The sequence below is a fragment of the Homo sapiens genome, chromosome X, assembly GCF_000001405.40.
Source record: "Homo sapiens chromosome X, GRCh38.p14 Primary Assembly".
In the NCBI taxonomy this organism is placed as follows: Eukaryota; Metazoa; Chordata; class Mammalia; order Primates; family Hominidae; genus Homo; species Homo sapiens.
This window is the reverse complement of record NC_000023.11, coordinates 21,465,986-21,481,423: the sequence shown is the minus strand read 5'-3', so window position 1 is coordinate 21,481,423 and position 15,438 is coordinate 21,465,986. Positions and strand designations below refer to the sequence as shown.

Sequence of the window (15,438 nt, the reverse complement as noted above, 5' to 3'; positions counted from 1 at the left end):
AAAGACAAAAGAAAGTCACTGAAATTAAATGTCTATAATTTATGACCTTAGAATTAGATTTCGAGGTCATCTACAGAGTCAGCTATAGTATAGTGATTAAAAGCCTCAGACTGAATAGTAACTTCACCACTTACTAGCTCCATGATCTGGGGAAAGTTGTTTAATCCTTTTGTGTGCCTCAGTTTCCTTATGTATACAATTGGGACAAAAATAATACCGATCTCACTGTATAGTGAGGAGGACTAAATGAAACAATAACTGATATTTATTGAAAGCTTACTATATTCTAAGTATTCTTCTAAGTCATTTACATGTATTAACAAATTTAACCCCCACAACCTCCCTAAGAAGGAAATACTGCTATTATCTCTATTGTACAGATGTAGGAATGGAGGCACAAAGATGTTAAAAACTTGCTCAAGGTCACTCAACTTTTAAATGGCAGAGCCAAGTTACAATCATGCAGTTTTGCTTCAGTTCCTGCGTGCTTAACCACTGTGCTTTGAACATTGTTTGGCAAGTAAATATCAAATATTTTAATGCCTAGTGAGCCCAACATTGAGATAATAATACAGCCTAAAAATTACACTTTAAGATAATAATCATCTAAGAATGATAAGGTCAATGCCAAAACAGTGAGAAAATGTCAGTCCCAAATGTACACCTTTGATGAGTAAGAAGTTCACCCATGACACTTCGAGCCTACTTTCAGCTACTTACCTGAAACAATCTGGTATGAATTAAGAGTTGGGACAAGAGGCTCCACCACTACTCTCACTTCTGATAGGGAAATAGAGTAAGCTGGAAACCAGAATTGGATCTGGGAAAATCTCAATTCTATTTATCTGCTGTTTCATAGGCAGGAAACAGAGACAAGCAGGCTTGTGGCAGGTTCCGAAGAAGATGAGAGATCACTCATTAGAGGACACATGACTTTCAGGCTCAAGAAAAAGAACAGACTGGACATATTGATAGCTCAACTAAGATGTAGGTTATTAGAAAAATGTTTTGATTTTAGCTTGGATTTTATATTCAAATAGCAAGAGTGAAGCAGTTCATTATAATTAGATAAGCTTCTGGAAATTTAAGGCACTATATATATACACTTTATGGATAAATAGGGACCAAACGGCAGAGACCTGGGAGCGATGTCTTCACTTATAGTCAAGAAATGTGAAGTAGCTATATGTAGTTTTATGGAGGTAAGAGCTAACCACACTGTGTCAGTTATGAGTTTTGTGGCTCTCAGCTCAATTCATCCTTCAGTGCTTGCTCTGTGACAATGGATTGGACTCTAAGCATTTATCTTGTACAGTAAGCACAATGTTAAGTTTTTGTCAATAGAGGGCAGTGGAGGGACACTGCAAGGAGAAGAAGGCTTCTAGGTTCCCATGGGCATTCTTTTATTTTTTTCTTGTTCCTGTTGCAGGGTCCACTAGCAGTGCATGTGTGTGGGGATATCGGTAGTGCTGTGCCCCAGCCACATGTCCAGATCATGCAGTCCCACAGTGACATTGCAGCCTCAGCCTGGGCTCAGTGATCACCATCCTGAGGCTATCTCAGCATGCTCTCCAGACCTCTTACTCACAGCATCATCCTAACTCTTGCTGTGAACCTTCCCAGCAGCATCATTTGCCTACATCCTCGAAGGTTGTCTTCCACTTGCCTGGCAACTGTGGATAAGCTCTGATCTATGCAACCCAATGAAGCTGCAGCCACACCTTCTCAGCCTTGGGAAGGGTGTTCCACTTAAAAGATATCCTTCCTTGGGTACTATTCCTCAGTTGTAGGACATGGTTTAGGGCGCTCTTTACCTGTTTGCAGGTATTTCTTATCATAATTTATAATTATTTATATCAAACTTCCTTTAAGTTACTGTGTGGCTTCTGTTTCCAGACTGATTCAATTACCTTGTGGAAGAAATCTTTACATTGACAGTGACTATAATTGCACTTTAAAAAAATATATAGCATTGATCCAGCTATCTCACTACTGGGTATCTACCCAAAGGAAAACAAATATTATATCAAAATTCACAATAGCAAAGATAAGGAACTAAATAAGTTAAGTGTCCATCAACAGACTGGATTAAAATGTGATATATATGTGTGTACATATATGTCTCTGTGTGTGTGTGTGTATACACACACCATGGAATACTACTGAGCCATAAGAAGTATAAAATCATGTCTTCTGCAGCAACATGGATGGAACTGGAGGCCATTATCTTAAGTGAAATAACTCAGAAACAGAAAGTCAAATACCACATGTTCTCACGTATAAGTGAGAGCTTAAAAAAAGTGTATACATGTGGACATAGAATGTGAAATGATAAACACTGGGGACTTAGAAGAGTGGAACGGTAGGAGGGGGTAAGGGGTAAGAAATGACTTAATGGTTACAATGTACGCCATTCAGGTGATGGCTACACTAAAAGCCCAGACTTCACCACTATGCAATATGCCCATGTATCAAAACTGAATATGTGCCTGCTAACTTTATTTTTAAAAATATATAGTGTCCTTGGTCATATATACAGTGGTCTCAAATAAAGACAGTTCTTCAATTTATCGCTTTATGTGGCCATACTGCTTTCTAATGATCTTGTGAATTTGTCATCTAAGAATTATGGCATTTAGACCTTAAAAGTCACAGATACTCCAAGCCCTCAACTTAGTCAGAAAGGCTAACTTAGCTTCTTTACAGCTAGTAAATGCCAGAATGGGGTCAGGACACCTATCCTTTTAACTCTCAGATTGCTGCTCTTTCTACTGTATTATTCTACCTCACTTGACTCCCCAACAAAAATGAATACTACTGTGAGGACAAGAATTGTACTTTCAGAGTCAGTATGAATATGGAAGCATCTTGCAATGCATAATGTGTTCAGCAAATGTAATGTTAGCAAAAACACCTATATAAATAAATATACTGCCTTATAAAATGTCTACCTAAATCATAATCAGAAACACTAAAACCAGATTATTTTAATTCTTCACATAGGCCACACACATTTTCTTTTTGTCCCAGGAAAGACAAACATTTTCCACCTCTATCATGTTATATCTGGATTTCTCATTTTTCCTTTCCTGCATGAGGCATCAGTTGTGGAGAATTTATAGTTAAAATAATTTACAATGCAATTAACCACCAAAGTGTCAAAATCTGAAAATAATATAATATGACACCAAAGAATCCAACGCCTATTTCAGCAATATTGTTAGCACATTTCTTCAGGCTGACCACAAAGATAATAAAGGGGGCTGAGACAGAAGGGTGACCTTAACTTCGAAAACATAAAGAAGCATCTTACGTTTTTCATCTATAAAACTCAGTATTAGAGTTGATGTTTTAGTGAGACTGACCATAATTTATATGTTCAAATGCTACAGTTACCAACAAAATCTCAACCATACTGAAAAAAAATTCAGTTTGCATTTGGATCAAGATCATAGCTTTTAGAAGAGTCTGGGCTACAACTGGCAAAAGCTGCTTCATCACAGCATCAGAAACCTCCTGAAGACGAGTTAAAATTATCTTCAGGGATTTTTAAGTCACTAGAGTACCATTGTTTTCAAGAAATCTCTAAAGATAAGCTATTAACATTAATATGATCACTTTTATTTCACTTTGGGGTATGCTGCTACACCAGTACTTAAACACATCCTCAAGGTTTTGATCCATCAGAAGAGGAAAGCTATACTTTCATAAATGATATGATGTAGATGTCAGGGAAAAGACTAAAATGAGCCCTTTACTTTCTCCTCCAGGATCCTCTCTTACATCTAACTGTTGGCTCTATGCAGTTTAAGCTATTTCTAGTCTGGATACCAGAGAAGACATAATAATCTCACTCCAGATGGAGTTTAAGGGCAAGGAATTCATAAATTTAAAGAAAGGAAAAAATTACAAAGAATGTTTATGAAATAAAACAAATACTTAACATGCCAAAATAAGCCTAATTCATGATCAAACCTAAGTAACAAAAGAAAAAAATAGCTTGGAGAAAAAAAAAGAGAAAAAAGAGAAGAAAGCATTCCTGAGAATGTTCTGTAAACTGTAAAGTACTATATAACTAGAAGATAATATTAACACTAAAATAATAAAATAGGCATTTGCAGTATTTATTATCTTTACAAAAGCAATGGGGTAAAATGCTAAAATACAAAGTGCCATATACAAGGCCATACCTTTGGCTAATGTAAAAGGTGTTTGTGAGCTCAGAACAATCTGATTTAAACAATGTGACCTTAATGATTACGCCTGGCCTGGGATTTCCATGAGTTTAATCAAAGCCGACAAGTGTTCCAGGCTCACCAATGAGAATGGCAGGGCAGGGACAAGCAGAGGAAGTCTGCTAAAGCACAAGCTCTGAAATGACTTCTCAGGAGAGCTTATCACTCCAGACTCAATGGGTGTACTGAAAGGCAGGAGTGAGGAGTAAGTAGAGTATAGAACTGAAAATTCCAGATTCTCTGTAACTCATTTGTTATATAAAACAAGGATCTGCACAGAGCAAAACAGATGGGCTCTAACCTGCCAGAGAATGTGTAATCCAGAACAAAAACTAACTGGAAGGAAAAGATCAGATCAATAGAAGTGAAACATAATATTATTTATCTTTAGTCGATAATCACTGAGATATATACTATATTGATTATCTGTATTGCCTTTTGTCCTTTATGGTTGTATTCTATTGTCTGTTCCATTATACTTAATGGCAAATTCAAAGGAAACCCAAGATGTTCAGTCTCCTTTTATTCATTCTCACACTTCATATTAACAGACATCCCTGCCCAACACTGCAACCAATCTCCCTTCCCACCAGGGATTTTGGTCCTCACAGCCTACTTCTTTCTGATTTTAAGCAGAAAGACTCTCTCCAATTTTAGAGGTGAGAAAAGTGAACAGAAAATGTAGCCTGAGGATTGTCCAAGTCCCTTCTGACTAGTTCAATATATGTACTATAAAATCATCCATTATAAGCAATCAGAATTCTAACTATACTATAATAAATACATACTTTTATACTTTTTCATTATGAAAGAAATGCAAATTAATTGAAAAAAATTGGGAAGATACATGCTTTCTCCATGGTTTATTTTCTGCTTCCATGTTAGTTTAATGTACTATTTTCTTAGTTCACTTTGCTCTCAGTTTATAGTGACCTTACCTTCTTTATAGTATGGTATTCTTTTTTAATACAGGTAATATCTTTTGGCTCAACTGAAAACATTAAACAAGTGTTCATAATAAACCTACTTCATGTGGAAGGATTTTCTTCTAATATATTAGAGGATACTTCCTCTCCTCTTACCCATTCTTTTTCTTTACCCATCCTTAAATACAGATCTATTTCAGGGAAAGATACACCACCTCACAACCTCAGCTCTCTCAGTTTGCCCATGTGTTGAAGGGCACTCTGACACTCGTACAGGTTGAGTATCTCTAATCCGAAAATCAGAAACTTTTTGAGCACTGACATGATGCTCAAAGGAAACACTCATTGGAGCATTTTGGTTTAGTATTTTCAGATTAGTGACAACTGTTAAGTATATCATGCAAATATTCCCAAATCCAAAAAAATCCGAAATCCGAGACACTTCTAATCTCAAGCATTTCAGATAAGGGACAATCAACCTGTATTGCCTTGTGGAATTCCTAGGCTATAACAAGTTTTCATAAGTGATAAGTTCTCCTTCCTCTTGAAAACTGCCTTCCCTATCCTCTGGACAAAATAAAGATTTAGGGGTAGGGTTTAGGCTAAGACAGTTGATGTTCTAGCGCCTATCTCAAGCTACTATAATCTCTATTCAGTCATCTGGGGTCTCCTTGTTCCTTCTAAATGGCAGCCATCACTGGGGATGTTCTAAAAACCTATTTAACTCACAGTCCAGTGTACTAAAGTGAAAAGGTTCCTAAGAACTATTAATATATTACATAGGATTCTAAATCTGCCTGGCATTAGAAAGATTTCAGCCATGTTCTTTAGGTTAGTCAATGGTTGGCTACTGGCACTGTTTTCACTCCTTACCCATTTGAAACTCTTACTCATTTGTTAAAAATACTTATTTTTTAGAAAAAATTTGAGTACATAGTAGGTATACATTAGGTATTTATGGAGTACATTAGATATTTGGATACAGGCATACAATGTGAATAATTACATCAGGGTAAATGGGGGTATCCATCACTTCAAGCATTTATCATTTCTTTGTGTTATGAACATTCCAGTAATACTCCGTCAGTTACTCTAAAATGTACAACAAATTATTGCTGACTGTAGTCACTCTGTTGTGCTATCAAGTAGTAGATCTAATTCATTGTATCTAACAATAAAATACTCATTTTTAATCTAGATTTTGGGTTGCTATTCAGGCATTTCTATGGATATTTTAGTACTACTTTTTTCTGATTAACACATATTTGTTATGCTATATTTAACCATTATACAAACACATAATTTAAAGTTAATGCCTCTAAAATTTATCCTATTCCTTGCAAAGACAACCAACATTAAGTCTGTTGCATAGTTCTTGAAATTATTTTCTTCACTATAAATACACTGCTTTTTTACACAAAAGTTATGTTATGTCTACTGTTTGAAGCTTGCTTTTGTGAGTTATGCAAATCTTGATTTCAGTCACTATCAGGATACTTTATGTGATCCAAAATACTTTAAAATTTGGATTGCCACTTAGAGGCGTTTCATTATACCAGACACCCCTTAAGCCCCATCTCATACCCACTCAGCCCACTTTTTTCTCCAGCTACTGCTGTGGCAATCTGCTTCACTTCAGTTGCACTACCTTTGCTTTCTGTCCTAGAGCTCTCTGGTACCTCCAAAAACCTGGTAGTGTGAGAGAGTTAACACCCCAAGGAGCAAGCTTTGACCAATGGGATAATTGGATTAGAGCCAGCAGATACATTCTCCCTCTTCAGTTTTTGTCAGGCAGGTTGGACAATTCCAAGGCAAATTCTGCAGGGCTTCTCAGAAGGTCCCGATGGGATCGAACTTCAGTTCCCTATAGTGGTGAACAATTCTAGAACCCATATTGATTCTCCTTCCCAGTGTCTCTTCTGAGTCTTGGGATAACTAATCAACACAAACTATCTGCATTCGAGCCTTGTTGTAGGCTCTGTTTTCCAGAAAGAACCCAGGCTAAGATGCTCATATACAATACATATTAATTCATCTTTGAAAAGGAGCCATTATAAATCATATTGTACTTAGAATATTCAAGTATCATAGAAACAAGGAAAACATTAAAACTAACTCACAATTGCATCCTAAACAAGCTATATAAAAACTCTGGCTTTTGATTTACTGGTCCATATAAAAAGGAGAGAAAGAAGATATTAAAAACCCTAAATAGGCCAGGCACAGTGGCTCACTCCTGTAATCCCAGCACTTTGGGAGGCCGAGGTGGGTGGATCACGAGGTCAGGAGATTGAGACCATCCTGGCTAACACGGTGAAACCCCGTCTCTACTAAAAAATACAAAAAAAATTAGCCGGGCGTGGTGGTGGGCACCTGTAGTCCCAGCTACTCGGGAGGCTGAGGCAGGGGAATGGCGTGAACCCGGGAGATGGAGCTTGCAGTGAGCCAAGATCGCACTACTGTACTCCAGCCTGGGTGACAGAGCGAGACTCTGTCTCAAAAAAAAAAAAAAAAAAACCAAACCAACAACAACAAAAAACCTAAATAATGAGATATAACCTAAAAAATAAATACTGGAAAGAGAACTACCAGATTATAAAGCTCTGTCTAGAAAACTTACTGATTTATTTTATCCTAGCAACAATCATTCATGAAAGATATTAATATCCCCATTTTACATAATAAGAACAAACTCTCAAAAACATCACTTGATTCAGCTCACCGAGATAGAAAATGGTAGAATTAGGATTCAGACAGTTTTTTAGACTCAAAGTTATTTCTTCTACACTATAGAGATCTAGAAAGATACTTATTCTAGAAATTTTGTTTTAAAGAAACTATTCTAGCCTCATATACTAAGTGGTACTGTATACTATTTTATTATTCTAAAAAATTATTCTTGTGAAAAAAGTAATATACAAGTATACATACAACCTTTTGGTAAAGGCTGGGTAATCTTTGTATAAAAACGTCAGGATGGGAAGTAGAAGAATAACATGAAAAGACAAGTGCTTTCTGAGATGAACTGATTTGGTTAATGCCATTCACTGTTGTCATCATCATCAGACAGGATTTTTAAATTCTCACTAGCTGGAATGCAAAATTGCCAAGGTAAATATACGGCATTCATTTCTAAACTCCTTCAGTACTATTTATGCTGTTACTTATTTCTAATAGCAAGTAGCCCAGAATCTGGCTTTTGAGAAAGATAAAGTCAATATGAGTCAATTATTAGGAATTTATTTAAGAAACTAAAAATTACTTATTATTTTAAAATTATTTAAAATTAAAAATATTTAGTGATTAAGAACTTTTAAAATTTGGCTATTACTTATTATGGTTTTTATTTAATAAAATTTCATTCATCATTTTATAACCCCAAAGAGATTATTTCCTTAGTCTAATTAATTAAAATTATATTTAAAGTCTTTTGTACAAGAGAAATCCCACAGTATTTCTTTCATCATTTAAATCTATTTCTGTTATTCTGTCATATGGTAGAATCTGAAATTTCCTCAGAAATAAAATTTCATATTTTTTACAGTTCTCTAGAGATTCTTTTTCCATAAATTATTTACATTTCCTTTGTTGATATTTGAATATTGATCACAAATGTGCATTTGTAACTGGAACTATTCCTCCATAGAAAAGGCTACATCAACAGATGTAAAAATATATACCATACATAAATTGAGAAAAACAAGGCAAAAAGAAATCATGTAGAGCCAAGAATGAAGCTAAATACAAAACAAATACCATGAGATGCACTTGTCAATTATGGGCCACAAATTTTAATCTTAAGTTCGTAGCAGCCAATGCATGAAGAAAAGTACAGCTCTTTTTGATACTAACATCAGGGAGATTACTCCTGAGAAACTTGATAAAGAAAAAAATGTTAACACACACTGACCTCAATAACAGCCTTGAAGTAAACACAATGAAGAACCCACAGCAGCATACCAAAGTCGAATTCAGTAAATTCAATACTTCAGAAAGAACAGTCATTGTCATAGAAAATTCAATGCTAAAGAAACAGTCACTCACAGAAAATAAAATGTAGGTGGGAAAGGGTCTGTGCATGCTCCTTAGTTATTGACAAAATAGGCACAGCTAGACAGTAGCCCTGGGTTCCACGGGAAAAAAGATAGTACAATTTGTAAAGCCTCAGGGAGCTAGAATTGGTAGCAACTGCCAGATCTGGAAAGGGCATGGGCTTTGGTATTAGATTCTGTGTTCAAACCGAATAGTTGAACAACTTAATATTTGTGACCCTTAGTTCCACCATCTGCAAAAGTAGGATTAAATGAGAGAATATGCTTATAAGAAATTAAGCTAATACTTGAAATATATAGGCCCTAAATAAATATTAGTGTCTTTCTATTCTCCAGGCCCTACAGGTAGATCAACGTGAGGGAGTTGTAATTATTTTCCCTCCTGGACTAATAAGGAGAAAAGTAAATTAATTATCCACTCCTGAGACTATTCTTATAAACCACAAAGGGCATCACTACTGCACAATGAGGGGGAGAGGATTAGCAGAGGATTATTCAGTATCATTTCTATAACAGATAACAAAAAAGGAATAGGGATGCTGTACTGCTGATATTCTGAAGTAATATTTTCCCTCCATACGTTTAGATGTTTTAAAAGTATTTCCTTTTCTAAATACAAAATAGTATTCTTTTATAAATATTCAAACATTTCAGAAACATAAAACTTAATAGACTGATATTAGGAATAAATGAGGCAAATGTCCTTTTACAGACATATGGATCTTCACCGCCTAGTACCTGGCAGATGCAGAAATGACATGATTTCACACACACCAGAGGTGAAGAAGTTATTAGGACAAACTAGCATTGATCAAGAAATGCATTTACAAATAAAAGTGGCCAACTGTTCATTAAGAAGGCAGGAGATGGCCTTTCCACAAAGTATAATGTACGCGTAGCCCATTTCTAGTAATAAAATATATGTAAAGTCATTAACTGATTCAAAAATATTGCCATATTACCATTTGAAAGGTTGTCTCGTAGGTATAGAATTGGAGCAAAGGAAATTTGATTTTTTTAATAAAGTATTTCATCCAAATGATGATAGAGATGAATTACCCATTATAGAACAGAATACCTTTCTCTGATCTTTTTTGTAATAGATGAACAGTAAAAGAAATTCTCATTTCAAATTCTCCTTGCTCTACATTATTAATTTTTTATTATATTCCAACCTTGCTACACATTACAATTTTAAAATATTATACCTTTTTTCTCCTATTAGGTACAATAGAATGGTTATAACTAACGTAACTTGTTATGCTTTGATTGTTTTGTAGATTTCCTATAAAAATACACTTAACTGATGTGGTCAGTAGATTTTTTTTCTTATGGTTCACCTCTTCTAGTTGAACAAGGAAATATCCTCTAATAAAGATTAAAATAAATCCAAGTATACTCACCACGTGAAGAATTTTATTCTCTGTTTCATATACAGTACAATCCTGAAAAAAAAGAACCATATACATTAGATTCAAAATATCAAGCATTCTTTTAAAAATATTTTCTTAGAAATTATACTATAATTTTAAAAGTCTTAACAATTCAAGTAAAAGCAATAATAACAGGAAAAATCTAGGATGCTACATACCAAAATATTAATAATGGTTAGCTCTGATGGTCAGTAACAGAGGCTATCCTTATTTTTGCTTAACTGTATATTCTAACTTTACTTCTTTTAAACACATACTAAAGGACAATATACATTAAGTAGACTTTTAAAAACAAATATTGAAAAAATATTGTAACCATTTTCTATCTAAGCTTTTACACGTGATAAATGTATTCTGTTGAAATGTCCCTAACATTTCAAATACTAATTTATTATAGATTAGAACATTAAAAAACACACTAACATTTATTTCAATAGTCCTATCAAAATCTCAAATACTTTTATATTTTCAACTATTGCAAGCTATTAAATATACTTTACAGTACACACTTAAAATTAATACATCTACTAATAATAATTACCAAGTTCATAGTTCTCACCTAAATTTAAGTCCCAGAAATTACAAAAAATTCTTTCAAAAACCACCATGGTCTTTTCTTTTAACCTGCAATTACTTGATATACAATAAGCAGTAATACAACAAACTGATCTTTGCTTAGAGACAATGTTTCTATGGCGCAGTTTCCTCACAAAATTTATAAAACGGGCATACTGGTAGCAACCCAATAAAAATGCTGTGAGAATTAAGTGACAAAATGAGATAAGTCATTAGAATCTGACATACATTAAGTGATAAATACATTTTAACCATGTATTAATGTCACTATTTTATTTATTTACTTTTTTTGAGACAGTTTTGCTCTTGTTGCCCAGGCTGGAGTGCAGTGGTGTGATCTCGGCTCACTGCAACCTCCACCCCCTGGGTTCAAGTGATTCTCCTGCCTCAGCCTCCCTAGTAGCTGGGATTACAGGCATGTGCCACCATGCCCGGCTAATTTTTCATATTTTTAGTAGAGATGGGGTTTCTCCATGTTGGTCAGGCTGGTCTCAAACTCCCAACCTCAGATGATCTGCCCGCCTCGGCAGATCAAAGTGCTGGGATTACAGGCGTGAGCCACTGCGCCTGGCCATTGCTATTTTAACTTTAAAAAACTAACTTTACTTCAAAAAATAAAATTAATTATTATTTGGATAATTTTGAAAAAAAAAACAAACCCATTTCCACAGTACTGAATATTTTAAGAAATGATACTCCATTTCATTTTTTCCTGAATTTAATTTTAACAAAAAAGGAATGTTGTTCAACACAATTTTTGATAATGCAACTTCACCACAATGCCTTGTCAGAAGAAATACATATGCAGATCGGGGCAAAGTTTTAAAAATAAAACTTAAGTATATTTTACAAAATTCACAGAAATACTTAAGAATTGGGTCTTGTCTTTCTGAGGGACTCATATGCCAAAGGAGAGATAATCTGGGAAAAGTTGGGAACTTGCCCAGCTTCCACATGCTGCTTCTACAGCTTGCTTCAGCTGCAATGTATGCAAATTCCATTATTTGCCTACCTTCCCAGAATCAGAGGGTATGACTAAAAATTCAAACTTCAAAGGGATTCTCCTCAAGGAAAAAAGTAAACAAAGTAAACATGATCTGAATGTATACTCTAGTAGTGGATAATAATCATACGGAAAGTAACTATTTCAAGTATCTTTAAAATATAAAAATTTACTAGCACATTCCTAATGTGATCCAACAAAAAGAACTGTTAAAATAATCTTAAACTGTTTTCAGTAATCATATGATGTTAGATGGTAGTGTTGTGATTATTATTGTCATGCAGAATCTGCTGTGTGTGCTTTATAAGATGAATAACTGAACAATTATGTGACTGCCATTCTATCACTCCAGTGTCATTGATAAGTATTTTTAGCATGGGATAAAGCAGACACATATATAAGATTGAAGAAGTTAAATAATATGCTGGAGTCTCTTGAAGTATTATCTATGTACATATGTATATACATGTATGCATGTATTTATTAGCACTGCACCCTGAAAAGGCATAGGAACAATGACCAACCTAGTAATGATACACTTCCCAGACTTTATGGTCTTAAAACCACATTTCCAAGCCTTCTTGGAAAATGGCTGATTTGAGATCTGGAATAGGAAACGTACAAGATGAGCTTGGATTATACTGTGATACAAGACAGAAGGAAGTTATCAAAGACTACTAGGAGTAATCTGTCAAGACTACCACTACACAGGAGTTGGCTCCTGTTTTAGTAGGACTCAGGACTCAACATGAAGAGATTCCCCCTAGTCAAACATGGAACAATTTGAGCATCTAAAAGGATAATAACTGCAATGGATGGAAACACAACAAATACTATTAAATATATGTTTGATGCTATATTAATATTACATTTTAAATGTGCTACCTATATCTAAATATAGTTAGTAATATTTAAATAATATTGAATATACTAAATTAATTAGACAATATAAAATAGACATATTTTTCCCCTTGATTCAGCAAATATTAATCAACTGTACTAGAGACAAAAGGATGAATAAAACATGGCCCCTGACTTAGAGAAGTGCTGTTTAGGGAGATAGGAATTCACACAAATAAGTTAAAACACAGAATTTCAAAGTATTCATGCTGTTTTAAGTATTTTTAACTTTAGAAGTATAAATGATACACCATTACACAAATCAATAGATAAAAGGCCAATTATTTAAAATTTTAAGATATTAATATATTTTTATTAACATTCAACAGGAAATAAAATTCAACATATAGTATACTGGGTTGTACTATACATTGCTCTAGTCAAATTTCAAACTTTTCAAAAACTTCTACCAGCTGTGGGTTAGTGACAGAAAGGATGACATCTGTGATCCTAGATTTAAGATTATTTGAAGAATAAAATATTGGTGCACACTCAACTATTTTGACATGACCCTGCAAAAGAAAGTTTAAGGGAGATATATGAGGTGATTGAGGTGGTCAAGTTTTTCTACCAGTCCAAAAAAATGCCACATATAAATATTAAAATTAAGAACTTACTATTTAAAATAAACAAAACTAAATGATTGTAAAATAAATTTAAATAAATTTTAAATAATGTTTTTGGTAAGGTTGTAGCACTTACGTATGTAAAGTTATTAAAGTTTAAATCTGCATTAAGAGATTTGGGATACTCTTGATTAGTGTAACAAAGGCACAATTATGGGAGCTAGAGGAGCAGAGGAGGAAGAAACTAAACTCTGTGTTAAAACAAATCAAGAAAGGTGGCTTTTAACTGGGTCTTGGAAACAGTGGGTCTTTAGAAAGAGAAAATAATGGCATCATCACAAAAGCAATGTAACCACACTCAGTTAAGCTACTATAGTAATTTTCAGATTTTACTTCTGCATATATAAGAATCATTTGAGGGGTGGGTTAAAATGCAGATTCCCAGAAGTACGGATCTAGTTGATTCAGAGTGAGGCCTCCAAGATGATATTTATAAAGATGGTATTTCGAGAAACACTTGATCTATTTTATAGGATTACCATGTGATACAGGAACACCAAAGCTATCCCAAAATTATCAAATATATAGAATCCATAAACTGGTAACCTGCTTTTTATAACATTATCTGCCAGCTCACTCCAAATAGTTCTGAGATCCTCAGAATTGTATTTTGATTGCACGTTCCCCCAATTCATTATTTTTTCCCATTAAACTTATTTCTTTCTTTATGTGGAACAGTTGCTTCTACTTGTTTGTATCTCTACCTTCTTTCAGCAAGATCGGCTTGCTAGTTATTGAAACCCAGAGGCTTTCCACAAAGGGTGAGGATGCAGCATATTAAAAATAGAAGCCAGGCACAGTGGTTCATGCCTATAATCCTAGCACTTTGGGAGGCCTAGGTGGGCGGATCGCTTGAGGACAGGAGTTCAAGACCAGCCTGGCCAACATGGTGAAACCCCGTCTCTACTAAAAATACAAAAATTAGCTGGGTGTGGTGGCACATGCCTGTAATCCCAGCTACTCGGAAGGCTGAGGTAGGAGAATCGCTTGAATCTGGGAGGTAGAGGTTGCAGTGAGCCAAGATTGCACCACTGCACTCCAGCCTGGGTGACAGAGTGAGACTCTGCCTCAAAACAAAAAAAAGAACAACAAAACCAAACAGAGAGAATGCATATTAACCTGCTACTTTATATTAGGGAGAAGAATAGAAACTAAATGACTATGTTATATTTTGTTAAGCTGTAATTTTATGGCATTCATTTCATCATGTTAAGTATTTAAATAGCTCTAGGTACTTTGGGGGGGTTTATTTATTACTAAGTTATTTTACTTCCATCAACAGGTGATTTTAAAATACTTGCTTCTAAAGTATGGGTTTTATTAATACTTGGGGCCAAATCCTTTCCCAAAAGATATCTCAAGTTTTAAAGAGAAAATAGCATTGCATATGGATAAATCTATACTTTACAAACCTATTCATGCTGTGGAAAGGTACACCTCTGACATTCCAGTTATTTTTAGGTTAGAATTAAATTTAGTTTTTAAAGACTGGGTTTCCAGTCACGATACTATATACTACCAGGAATTCTCTTCAGTAGCTCAAGCTTTTATTGTATATGCAAAAAAAATTCATTTCTTCTTTTTCCTTTTCCATATAATGCTTCTACAAATTATGTGATGCATTTACATGAGCCAAATTCCTAATGAGAAAATATTCATAAAAATGAGGCGTGTTTCTTGAATTTTG

General features: G+C 34.5%; 1 protein-coding gene across 8 annotated transcripts in view; it reads right to left on the bottom strand.

The window, feature by feature from the left end:
• CNKSR2 (connector enhancer of kinase suppressor of Ras 2) overlaps positions 1 to 15,438 on the bottom strand; it is a 280,272-nt gene that overhangs the window by 173,266 nt on the left and 91,568 nt on the right. For all 8 annotated transcript variants that reach the window (NM_014927.5, NM_001168647.3, NM_001330770.2 and 5 more), the window contains exon 5: positions 10,617 to 10,658. In NM_014927.5, the coding sequence (NP_055742.2) occupies positions 10,617 to 10,658 (42 nt within the window). The remainder of the gene's footprint in view (positions 1 to 10,616; positions 10,659 to 15,438) is intronic.